Here is a 13,008-nt window from a genome sequence, read left to right as displayed (position 1 = left end):
CACTAAATTTAAAAAATAAATAAAAAATAATTGAAATGTGCTTTTGTTTGTTTGTTTTAGTGCAAAGCTAGCAGCTACTTCTGTATCTTAAACACACCAGCCTCCAACAAACACCAACAAACAATCGGTGAAACCTTTTCCTTTTAACTCCGGTGAACTTGAATTGACATGTAGTCACACCCAGGTATCTTTGGGTGTTGGTTATTTGATTAGGAGGTAATACTGTGTTTTTGGTCCAACTCCAAGGAAAGGAAGGGGTCACAGACCAGCAAAGAATATCAGGAGTACTGGTGCTGCTTTTCTTCATATTTTGGGTCGCTGGGCTCAGGTAGAAAGAGACTTTTGTGCACTTGGGAACAGAGTATCGTACAAATCCTTTCAGCATTTTTGCAACCAGAAACCATGCAAATGTTTTTGCAGATATGCTTGTGGTCTTGCTGGCAGTTTGTGAGCACAACGCTCTGTTTGAGGTGGTGATGTTGACTTCTGTTTTCTATTCACTGTCCTGCCCCAAATCGAGCATGCCGTCTTGTACTTTAATTGTGTGAGCACACTCTTTTCTACCTAATGCGGAGAGTGGGTATCAGTTGGTCTCCATTCCTTGCATAAAATGATTTTTACTATTACTGCTTTGAGATAATTTGTGTGTTTATCTCAGCACCTTTGACTCTCATTCCTGTCAGTACAGCAAGGGAACCCAGCATTTACTACCAGCTCTGACTTTGCAGGGTTGAGAGTGGCATGCTGTTTGACTTTGGAAACTATGTTAAAAATTCCTCCAGTGGATCCCTAGCTGGGACTGTTTTGGCAATTGATGTCTATCTTGCCTACTTTTTCTGAGGATTTCTGCAAGGTTATTTTAAACATATTCAAGTTGTCTGATTGTGCTGAGGCACCGTTGTCACAAAAGAAAGTCACAGTCTATTACCTCTGCAAAATTTTTGAATGAGAAGCCCGCTGTTACTGAACACCAGGCATGGGGAGTCTGACTTTGAAGCTGGCTACGAGGCATGCTTTCAAGGAGACAAGGCAGAGGCCCAAAGATGTCGCAGGGTGGCTCCAAAGCTCTGATCTCAGCTTTGCTGAGGCATCTCCTGTGCCCGTGATCTTTCTAAGAGTCAGTCATTCAAGGTACCCAAAATGTCCCTCTGTTTAGAAAGGGTAGCTCTGTTCCGTAGCCAAGGTAACACTTCATCCAGTTTACCACTGTGGGATCTAAAGGCAGCTTCAAGGGTTGCATATGAAACCTGGCTCTCAGAGGACATCTCCCGTGAGATATTTTCACCGAGTGGGGAATCCATTTCTTCTGTCTTCTACCGTAGCCTTAATAGAAGCTGCCAGGTTTCTAAAGCCACCAAACCAGTACAAATCTGGATTCCATGGACACACACACTCTGTCACCAAGTTTTTCATCTGTTAAATGGGGATCACAGTACCTCCCTGTTTCTAGAATTCTTTTGAAACCAAATGAAACAATGTACGCAAAGCACCTAACGTAGCATTGGGAACATGGTTGGTGCTCAAGAAAAGTGATGCCCGTTCCCCGATCCCCAAACATTGTGGGGCACACTTCTTGATGTGGGTTGCCCTTTTGATGCCATATTATATTTCACAGATACAATGAGAAGTAAGTATTCTTGGAGAAGGAAATGCAAAAATTTCCTTGGATTTTCTAGGGAGTTGTGAGTTTTAAACTGGTGTGACCCAACCATGTCCATAATCACATCAGACATGGTCAGTTTGTGTTTTGCTTTCAGTTTTAGTGATTCTGGCAGGAGAGAGTTACTGGCAGAAGGAACACCTTGAAATGCTACAGCCAGAGATCTCTAACTAGATGACAGCTTTCTAATTTCTGCTGGCATTGCCCCTCATCTTCTGGAGATTGCCTTTTTCCTTTCTGTCTGTCTTGTTTCTAGATTTCAAGCCAATGCCTTAACTCTTACTTTCTTCCCATAAGCAGACACCTGTGTCTTGGGTGGATGACAAGGGGTTCTGGGAAAGAGATCTCCAAAGTGGGGTCTATGCACTTTTATGTGCAAGGAAACTCACTGGAAAGAAAATATTAAAACCTAATTTGTATTTATCTTTACATTAAAAACTAAGATGAAATTGAGCTGCTCCCATATATAATATTTGGATGGACCCCAGTCTCCTCATGCAGTTTGATTGCCAGAGGGTCAGGGCTCACAAATGGTATTACTTATTATTTGAGAAATTCAAATTATATAAATGCCTGGATTCAGCTGATTATTTTATGGTAAGCATCCAAAATAGTGCCTTATTTTTCTTCCCAGAAACAAAAAACTTTTGGTACAGATTTGCTCAGGAGGGACTGGAAGCAGAGAGCTGCACAGTGCTGGGCTGGGAGTCAGAGGACCCGAGTTCTAGTCCTGGTTCCAGTCCAGGATGGCCCCGTGGACACATCCTTTCACCTCTCTGGCCCTCAGGTCCCTCATCTGTAAAGTAAAAGTTTTGCACTGCTTAATCGATAGGCCAGGCCCCTTCCAGCTACAATATTTTAGGGTTCTGAATGTAAATATGTAAGTATTCTGCCCCTTCCTTATCCCTGCCACTTTGTTGTTTGTTTAAACACCTTAATTTTTTGCCTACAAGGCATCAGTCTGTTGCTCAAATGGTCTTTGTCACTGGCTTCCATTTTGGTTAGCCTGCTGAACTCCCTATGTATCTTCTCTGCAGCTACTGTCTGTCGTCTTCTTTTCTGTGGCGGATCCCTATTCTCAGAATCCCATATTCAAATTGACTCACATTTATAGTGTCCAGTTATACATCACTTGAGCATCATGAAACTTTAAAAGTTCTATATTTTTTATTTGAATCCTGTCCCTCCTATTATCTTATTAGCCAGATGAGATGACAGTACCCAGTCTCTTTCTTGAAATATCATACATCCAATCAGAGCTATATTAGTGGCTAGTAGTATCCCAGTTCACTTATTAATAACCAATGCAAAACTTTACTCATCTGGTACTGTGAGCTTGGGTAATATGAAATCTCTGTGCGTTATCTCTTTTAATGTACTCAAAAGCACTGAACGGGGCTGGGTATGACAGCTCACACCTGTAATCCCAACACTTTGGGAGGCCAAGGCAGGAAGATCGCTTGAACCCAGGAGTTCGAGACCATCCTGGGCAACATAGTGAGACCCCCATCCCTACAAAAACTAAAGAAATTAGCCAGACATGGTGGCACACACCTGTAGTCCCAGCTACTCGGTAGGCCGAGGCAGAAGAATCACTTGAGCCCAGGAGGCCCAGGCTGCAGTGAGCTGTGATCACACCACTGCACTCTAGCCTGGGTGACAGAGTGAGACCCTGTCTCAAAAAAGAAAAGAAAAGAAAGATTAATTTAAAAAAAGTAATAGAATTATTTGCCCAATATTTGGTGAGTCGGTGAGTGACAGTGGTAGTAGTAGTGGGGTTTGAGTTAAGGAATAATTGTTTGCAAAGTGAGAACTGTAAGGAGTGCCTCTGTGCACCACGCAGTTCAAAACCCATCAGGAACATGGCAGGCTCGCTGAGCGCCTTCGCTGCACATTGTTGATTGTCATGTATTTGTATGACTATCATCTACTTTAAAAGTTTTCATTTGACAATAACTTATAATCATTCATTCACGCATTTTCTGATCCACTCCTTCTAGTTGAGGGTTGCAGGTGGCCAGAGTCTATCCCGGCAGCTCAGGGAGCATGGCAGGAACCAGGCCTGGACAGGAGGCCATCCTATCTTAGGGTGCTCACACAATCCCCCACATTCACTCAGACTGAGACCATGTCAACACCCCAATGTACTCAATGTGCATGTCTTTGGCATGTGGGAGGAAACCCTCACAGACATGGGAAAAACATGCAGACTCCTCACTGGCTGGACCAGGAATCCATTTTTCTTCCTCATTATCTTTATCACAAAATGGCGTCATCCGAGGACCTGCTCTATTGGCTTGCTGTTGAACCTTTAATAAAGATCTAAGCTGATCAAAGGAAGGCAGAATCTACCTATTTGTGGCCACCCTAGAAGCATACAACAGTGAGGGTCCTGGTAAGATCAGTGAAGCCGTGCTGATCTTCCAAATTGGTTTTTATTGCAAATTCATTCTAGAGCTTGCTGATTGAACTTGGGGCTGGGGAGGTGGCAGCAACTGCAGGTAGCCCTCAGAAAGTCTGTCGGGAAGGACACATCAATAGAAGATAAGGCTCCCGTCTCTGCATGCTGCAGTGCTTGCCTTCTGCAAACTGGGCTTGCGATTTGGGTGTGGGTTCCGAGAGACAAGCCCCTAGCAGGCCCATTAGAAGACAGTGCCTCCCTTCATGTCTATCCTAGGGCTTTTAGTTGAATTATCAAGCTTGTTCTTAATTTTCCCCACCCCTTCTAAGTTCCCCAAGCCCACTCCTAAAGTCCAAGGTATGGATCAGAAGAAACAGCAAGATAGCCCTGCATCCTCTGTCAGGTGGTGGAAGGGAGTGAGAGGATGAACTTGTTTGTGATCACACATTGAGCGGCCCTGAGCCTGCAGGACCCTTGGCGACACTGATCTGCCATGTGGATTAGTGGCTGCTCTTGTGGCTTCTCCCTGAGATGTGCCCACGGGACTCTCATCTCTGCCACCCATCAACCAGCTGTGGTCTGAGATCTCTGTTTGTAAACATGTGTCATTGATACCCTAAAGGCCCCTAGACCAATGCCCTTATGGTTACATTTTGCCCCAAGAGGGACATGGTGCCACTGTGCCATAGATCAGAGCAGATCAGGCAAGCCAAGGGTCCAGAAGTAACCATGCCAGAAACAGGCATTCCTCACTTCTGCATTTGGTTCAGCGTTGGCTAGTGGTTGTTCAGGGAATGCTCCTTGCCCCTGAGCTTGGCTTGTTTCCCTGGACTCCGTATCCCTATAGCAAACCCACAACAAAGGCTGTGCCCACATCAAGACACCCCTGATCACATCCAGACCCTTCCCCCGCTTAGCACGTCCAGACACAGTACCCCTAAGTGAGAGATGACACACCAACACCTTACCTGTGTCACCGCTCCTTAAAATCCAACTCTTTATACTCTTGTGGAGTTTCCACGTTGGCTTTTAAAAGACAGAGATGAGAAAATAATTTCATCAACCTTATAAAACTTTTAAAAATTGAGTTCTTATTCAGATATGCCCCAAACATTTTTCAGAAAAATAGGGCAATCTGAGAAAACCATAACATGTGAGTAGTTGGTTAACTCATGTCAGCATACCTCCAGCATTTTGCATGACTTATAAATAATGCGTATTTTGCAAGCAGTATAGGAGAGATTCTTCCAAGGATAGGAAGTCCTGACTTTTTGGCAGGTTGATATCAACTCTGCCACAGCCTGCTGATAACTCTTTGCATACTGTTCTTTTTCTCAGAATAGCATTTAAATTAGAGTTTCTTTGTTCCATGGTACAGGGTGATAGTTCATATTATGTCACAAGAAATTGTTCAGTTACCTCCCTGTCTTTATTTATATGCACAGCTGCTGGTGTTTCTAGCTAGTCTTCCTGCCTCATTACCTTGGCTGTGTAATTGAATTAGAAAAAGGTATTGAGCAGCTACTACTTCAGAGACTATCATTTTCAAACCACAAATTAGGACACAGAGTCTGGTAGGATTTTTGACTTATGAATCTATTAGGCCGGTGCCATTAATGGCAAAAACCGCAATTACTTTTGTGCCGACCTGTATGATTAATAAAAATCTTAATGGACATGCACACACTAATTTGGTATGCATTTAATAGGCTGACTTAATTTTTTCTTTTCTTTTTCTTAAAAATTTTTTTCACTTTTATTTTTAAAATTCATTTCAGCTAATTAATTAATTGATTTTATTATTTTTTTTAAAGACAGTGTCTAGTCGGGCGTGGTGGCTCACGCCTGTAATCCCAGCACTTGAGGAGGCCAAGGTGGGTGGATCACTTGACGTCAGGAGTTCAAGATCAGGAGTTCTCTACTAAAAACACACACAAAAAAGAATTAGCTGGGCGTGGCGGTGGGCACCTTCTGTAAGCCCAGCCACTCGGGGGGCTGAGGCAGGAGAATGGCGTGAAGCCGGGGGGCAGAGGTTATAGTGAGCCAAGATTGTGCCACTGCACTCCAGCCTGGGCGACAGAGCCAGACTCCGTCTCAAAAAAAAAAAAAAAAAAAAAAAAAGAGACAGTGTCTTGCGTGTTGCCCAGGCTGTTCTCAAACTCCTGGCCTTACGTGATCTTTCTGTCTCAGCCTCCACTGAGATGAAGGACATGAACCGCCACACCTTGCAAGATTGCTTTAAAACTGTAAATAATAAAATTCTGTGAAACTGGCCTTGCCCAAGGCACAGAGGCATGTGAGAGGTAGAGCTTGTACCCAAGTCTGTTGATTTTAATCAGTTTGCTAGATTAGGAAGAAAAGTTACATTCCTGAATCGTATTACCGAATGTCTAAGAGCTTTGCACTTAAAAACAAGAGTGGTGATGTGGGAGCTCTCTTAAGGGACTGTTAAGTGCTTGATGTATGTGACATGCTAGCAGAGCCACAGCTGAAAAGACAGGGACTAACATCAGTGTGACTCTCTTGTCACTTGTTTGATTAAAATATAATCAGAGCAGAAGTGAAATGAGCATTTGTCATATTAAGGAATCTCAAGCATTTGATTCATATTATTCTGTAGCTTGAAATGTCCTTACCTCACTAATGATGTGGTGAAGATTAATTGCCTGTTATTCTGTTTAAAAAGTTAATCATCCAGGCTGGGCACGGTGGCTTACACCTATAATCCCAGCACTTTGGGAGGCTGAGGCAGGAGGATTGCTCAAGCCCAAGAGTTTGAGACTAGCCTGGGCAACACAGTGGGACCCTGTCTCTACAAAAAAAAAAAAAATTTTTTTTTTTTTTGGTAGAGAAACACAGCCAGGTATGGTGGTGCACACCTGTAGCCCTGGCTACTAGGGAAGCTGAGGAGGGAGGATTAATTGAGCCCTGGAGGTTGAGGCCTCAGTGAGCTATGTTTGCGCCACAGCACTCCAGCCTGGGTGACAAAGTGAGACCCTGTCTCAAAAAAATAAAAATAAAAATAAAATAGTAATCATCCAACCTCAAATATCTGTTACTCTTAACTGGACTACTTACATGGTTAAGAGAAGGAGAACTGTGTTTAGGGGCAATATCTCTTCCCTTTGATCTCCTGAGTTGGGGGCAAATAGGAACGCCTTGGAAACTTATTTCTTCCTTGGAGCAGACTCTGGGCCCAGGACTCCTATTTGCCCCACGATAGCTGCTGCCACAGTGCTGCCGTGTACCTACAGCAAACATGTTGTGAGGTGAGTCAGTGTAGCCTGGAATTTATTCACCCAGCTAGTAAAGATTGGGCACTCCCATGCCCCAGGCACCACCCTGGTGGGGACATGGCAGGGGGCAGACATCATCCCAAGGCTGACTCCAGGGCACGGAACTTCCTCTGCATTATGCAAGGCTGTGCAGAGCCAGGCTGCTCCGTGAGCTCCTAGCTTGCAGGGCTTTGTACCAGGTATTCTGTTTACCACGTGGTACTTCTTTTTCTTCTGTAAAAAAAAGGATAATACAAGTACTTGGTGGTGTCATTGGGCAGATGAAAGAAGTTGATACGTGACACATAGTAAACATGCAATAAAGCAGTTACTATGAACTTTAGAATTATTGCTGTTTCCAACTGCTGTTACTTTATTATGAGAGGCAGTAGGTACAATGTTTAAGGGCAAAGATCTGAAGCAGACTGCCTGGGTTTGAAGCCCAGCTGTGGGAGCTGAGCAAGTTACTTAACTTCTCTGTGCTTCACTCAGTTTCCTGCCTCGTGAAGTTGTAAGGATTAGATAAGTTATATGTAAAATGCTTAGAGCAGTGCTTGGTATGTAATAAGAATTAGCTGTTACGTGAGAATAATAATAATGTATTTCATTCATTCAACAAATACTTGGGGGCTGCCCATGCCATGCATCATGGCACTCTACTAGGTCTTGGGGCAGAATGGTGAATAAGACTTGGTCCTAGGGGTCAGTTTAATCAGGGAGCCAGGCACTCAGGTAATGCTGTTAGAGCAGGCTTCTTAGCAAGATGATGCCTGACCTGTGCTGGGTGAGAGTTTAGTAGGCATAGAGTTGGGTTGAGGTAGGGAGGAGTTCATAGAAGAATACCCTAAGCTGGGGGACAGTGGGAATGTAGGTACTGAAGATCCCACCTCACACACACACTGTGGAAAAACAGAAACAAAGCACAGCATGGTATGCACAGAAAATGGTGTGGTGGGAACCTCAAAACGGAGAAAGCAGGGGTTAGAGATGGACAAGGACAGGTCAGGGAAGCCTCGCTAAGATTTGCACTTCAAATGCATGCGCAGCTACCTTGAGGGGTTCCAGACCAGGCTTGTGAAGGCAGCCACTGTCCTCTGACCGCCCGTCTCCCTGGGATGAGGGCAACCAGAGCCCTTTTTGTGCCCTGGAGGATGGATGCCCTGAGCATCTCAGAGAGCCTGGGCTGCCCAGGCCTTTCCCTTTCCCCTTTCCCCTTTCCCCTTTCCCCTTTCCCCTCCCCTCTCCCCCCTCCCCCTCCCCCTCCCCCTCCCCCTCCCCCTCCCCCTCCCCCCTCCCCCCCTCCCCCCTCCCCTCCCTCTCCCACTCCCCCTTCCCTTTCCTTCCCTTCTCTTTCTTTGTCTTGCTCTGTTACGCAGGCTGTAGTGCAGTAACGCAGTCACGGCTCACTGCAGCCTTGACCTCCTGAGCTTAAGCGATCCTCCTGCCTCCGGCTCTCGAGAGTAGCCTGGACCACAGGCATGTGCCACCACGTCCAGCTAATGTTTTGATTTTGTGTAGAGATGGGGTCTCGCTATGTTGTCCAGGCTGGCCTCTAACTCCCGGGCTCAAGCAGTCCTCCCTCCTTGGCCTCCCAAAGTGCTGGGATTATAGGCATGAGCCACCACACCTGGTCTTCAAAGGGACTTTTGGTGAGGATCAGAGATAGGAGCCACCATTCTAGGGTTCCTGGAGTTTGTGAGGGAAAGAGGACAGAACCGTTTTGGTAATGCTTACGGGAAGCACTTCCTGAGAGAGAAAGAATAAAAAGCAGTTACCCAAGAGAATTTCCTGCTCAGCCTCAAGACAAGCCCTGACCCTGGGGACTACTGACATGTCCCACCTGTGGCTGGGAGGGTTTTCTGAGGTGGGAGGTCTAGACAGAGCAGGGGGCTTGGGAGCCCTGATGGAAAGTGCAGGGAATTCAGAACACAAACATAGGGTAGGTTCTACTTGTGAGAACACAACCTAGACTCTCGCCTGCAAACTAAAAGGGAAATCTGGTCTTACCATGTGAGATTTTCCACAGCAGAGTAAAATGCATTTGGGAAATCGAACAGAAGTTATTTAAATTCCCTATGGCTGGACTTGAAATTGACAAGAAAAGGCCCAATAGGGAATGCCAGTGTGTCCCCAGGTGTGGAACATGGCACCAGGGTAGACCTTAACATCGGTATGTACAACCCCACACTGGTGTATTTTACAATATTTCTCTTTTTCTTTTCCTTTTTTTTTTTTGAACAGGGTCTTGCTTTGTCACCAGGCTGGAGTGCAGTGGTGCAATCATAGCTTACTGCAGCCTTGAACTCCTGGGCTCAAGCAATCCTTTCACCTTTGCTTCCCAAAGCCCTGGGATTACAGGCATGAGCCACCGCGACCGGCTTACAACATTTGTCTTCGTAGCTATTTTTACATGTTGAAGAAACAAAACTAGCACACCAAACTGGTGGATTTTATGAAGATTGTTGTGTAGGTTTAATCAAAATTATTAAGGACCATTTATAGAAAAATTTGAAGCAAGTGCTGTGGAATGTGGTTATAGGAAACTTGTTAAAATAGTTGAAAATGACTGAGGTTTAGGAAAGATTGCAATATGGTGTGGTGTATGTCAGAAAAGTCATGGGGGCCGGGCGCGGTGGCTCACGCCTGTAATCCTAACCCTCTCGGAGGCCGAGGCGGGCAGATCACCTGAGGTCAGGAGTTTGAGACCAGCCTGGGCAACATAGTGAAAACCCGTCTCTACTAAAAATACAAAAATAAGCTTGGTGTGGTAGTGCACGCCTGTAGTCCCAGCTATTCGGGAGACTGAGGCAGGAGAATCACTTGAACCAGGGAGGTGGAGGTTGCAGTGAGCCAAGATCATGCCATTACACTCCAGCCTAGGTGACAGAGCAAGACTCTTTCTCAGAAAAAAAAAAAGAAAGAAAAGAAAAAGAAAAGAAAAGGAAAAGTCATGGGGAAAGTCAGACATCATAGTAATCCCAGGGCAGACATATCGCATGGAGGGTGGGACACCTTTCTGCTTCAAATGGTGTTAATATTGAAAGAACCTGTAGGCTGAAAGAGATACAAACTTGAACATGTCTTTACAAAGCGAAGAGGAAATTACGTAAAGACCTTGCTTTGCGAGCTGTGGTCTGGTGATGGGTGGCTTCTCTTGGGCAGCTTGTCATCCAGGACCCTTGTCCTCATCCTCTAGTGGGTTGGAGGTGAGGATGGGGGAGGGGGTGGCAGCTACAAAAATTTCTGCAACAAAGCCTCTAAAACTGGGTGATCATCAGCCTCACCAGTAAAGCCACTACACAGTTCCTGACGTGAGATTAGTATTTGGTACAATGCTTCCAGAGTAATCAAAATTTTTATAATATTTTTTCATCTGTGATGATATTAAACAGTGATATTTGAAGAGTACCTGGCCCTTAGTAAATGTCATGCGCCAGAATATATCACACCTAAGATGCTACTGGTTATAAAAGGAGCATCATTATTTTATTTACAGTATTGAAAAATAAAAAAAAACTGCCAGTTAAGCTATAACACATCATTGATTATAAGACATCCTTTTTTTTTTTTTTTTGAGATGGACTTTCGCTCTTGTTGCCCAGGCTGGAGTGCAATGGCGCGATCTCAGCTCACTGCAACCTCTGCCTCCCAGGTTTAAGCAATTCTCCTGACTCAGCCTCTGGAGTAGCTGGGATTACAGGAGTGCACCACCACGAGGCTAATTTTGTATTTTTAGCAGGGACGGGGTTTCACAATGTTGACCAGGCTGGTCTTGAACTCCTGACCTCAAGTGATCTGCCCACCTTGGCTTCCCAAAGTGCTGGGATTACAGGCATGAGCTGCTGCGTCCAGTTGATTATAAGACATCCTAATTTCAAAATGTGAAAATGTGAAAAAGAATGCATCTTAGAGTTGATGGAATACATTAACTGTTCATTTACAACATCTTATCTTTGAACTGTTCATTGATATAGAAAATGATCCTTTTGAGATTGACATTTCAGGCAGAGAAAGTAAAAGAAAGCTGTCGTGTCTCTTCTTTCTGGGAGCCTATTGTTAAAAAAAGTTTGCTATATCTGCAAGCTGGAATAAACAAAAAGAATTGGAGACTGAGTTGACATGAAATAATAAAAAATATGGAAAACAGTGTCAGACATTTATATATTTCATTCTGCTTAGCAAGACTTTCACATCCATTATCTTATTTGATCTAACTTTTTTCACAATGAAAACAGCTCTGTGTGTGTATATTTTATATATACATACTCAGAAAAATAAAACAGTGCAGAAAGTACACTGAGATAAACAACCACAACATTTTAACAACTGTATTTTTGTACAGAGATAGTGCATATAAATACTATCATACGTTCAATCAAAACAAAATTGGGGCTCCTTACCATCCCTTGTTATTTTCAACAAACCTTTTTTTCCCTCCCCCTTCTAACCCACTCAGCCAATGTTGCTGGCTTGGTGTGCACCTTCCATGCACTGGATCATGTCATCATGTAAAACCAGCTCTACCCCTAAAAGGATTGGGGGTGGTTTGATGGTCAGTCTTATTTGATCTTCCCAGTGGCCCAGGGGGGAGTGTAGTGTTATGAACCCCTTTTTGCTGAGGAGGGGACAGGCTCCAAGAGGTTGACTGATTTGTGTGACACCCTATGGCTAAGTGGCACAGGGTCTTGGCTGGGAGGGCTAGTCTTTGAGAGTTGTCCTTGGCTTTTTTGAGATCAAGTTGGTCACAGATGCAACCTAGCAGCCTGAGACAGTCCCAGTTTATGTGCCTTCCTCCAGCTTTATCATTAACAACACTCTCTTCTGCATCAAAAGTGTCCCGGGCTGAATGATACATTATATGTTTGCTCTAGTGGTGGAACACTTCTCCACCGGGGGCCAGCTCTTCTAGGAAGGTTGATTCCAGGCACCACTGACTAAGAGATCACTGGACCCACAGTAGACCTGGAGCCTGTGTCTACACTTGGACTTAACGATGATATTGGAAGTGAGCTTTGGTATCGCAGAAAGAGCAGAGAAAAGGAAGTCAGAAATCCCTGTGTCAGGTCTCAGGGATGAAAGGAGACCACGTGTATGTGAAAATGCTACACAAATAATGAATCTGTGGTATGGTCACATATATTTAAATGGATGAAACTTTATGAATAAGCACATACTCCATATTCATTGAGTATTCCCTTCCCCGAGCCTCACGTGCCACCCCCTCAGTGCACTTTTCCACCCACTCCAAGCAGAGGCAACATGGTACATTATGACCCCAAGCTTCAGTTTCTCCATTTGTAAAATAGTGCAGAAATTATAATACTTGTGTCTTGCAAGTGTTGTGAGAATTAAATGAGATAATTATGTAAAAAGCATTGGCACGTATTTCTGGTTTCAGTAAATGTTCCAATTATCTAGGAGTGTAAGGGGTTGAGAGTGGGTTGTTGGCTACTGACTACCCTGTCCCCCATGCACTGTTTCAGGAACACTTTTTCCTCATATTGTACTCTGTGCACTGAAGTCCAGCACACACATACTTGCTTCAGAGACACATCTTCCCATCACCAAAATATTAGGGGTTTAAATTTCATAAAGTTGAAATAAAGTGCAAGCCCAATGCTGGTTTGTAGACCAGTTTGCAAGCCCAGTGCCTTGTATGTAGCAGACAGACA

The 13,008-nt window shown here is 44.4% G+C and overlaps 1 protein-coding gene across 1 annotated transcript in view, besides 1 other annotated feature; it reads left to right on the top strand.

Moving 5' to 3' along the window:
* MYO1E (myosin IE) overlaps positions 1-13,008 on the top strand; it is a 240,438-nt gene that overhangs the window by 81,339 nt on the left and 146,091 nt on the right. The gene's annotated exons all lie outside the window — the stretch shown is intronic.
* Positions 9,289-9,583: a silencer, noted in NCBI's record as "tiled region #2447; K562 Repressive non-DNase unmatched - State 22:ReprW". NCBI's record gives its function as "represses a minimal TATA promoter and a strong SV40 promoter by Sharpr-MPRA in K562 cells {active_cell/tissue: K562}" and the evidence as "EXISTENCE:reporter gene assay evidence [ECO:0000049][PMID:27701403]".

The sequence above is a fragment of the Homo sapiens genome, chromosome 15, assembly GCF_000001405.40.
Source record: "Homo sapiens chromosome 15, GRCh38.p14 Primary Assembly".
In the NCBI taxonomy this organism is placed as follows: Eukaryota; Metazoa; Chordata; class Mammalia; order Primates; family Hominidae; genus Homo; species Homo sapiens.
Note: the sequence above shows the minus strand (reverse complement) of the source record. Positions and strands in the feature narration are given on the sequence as shown.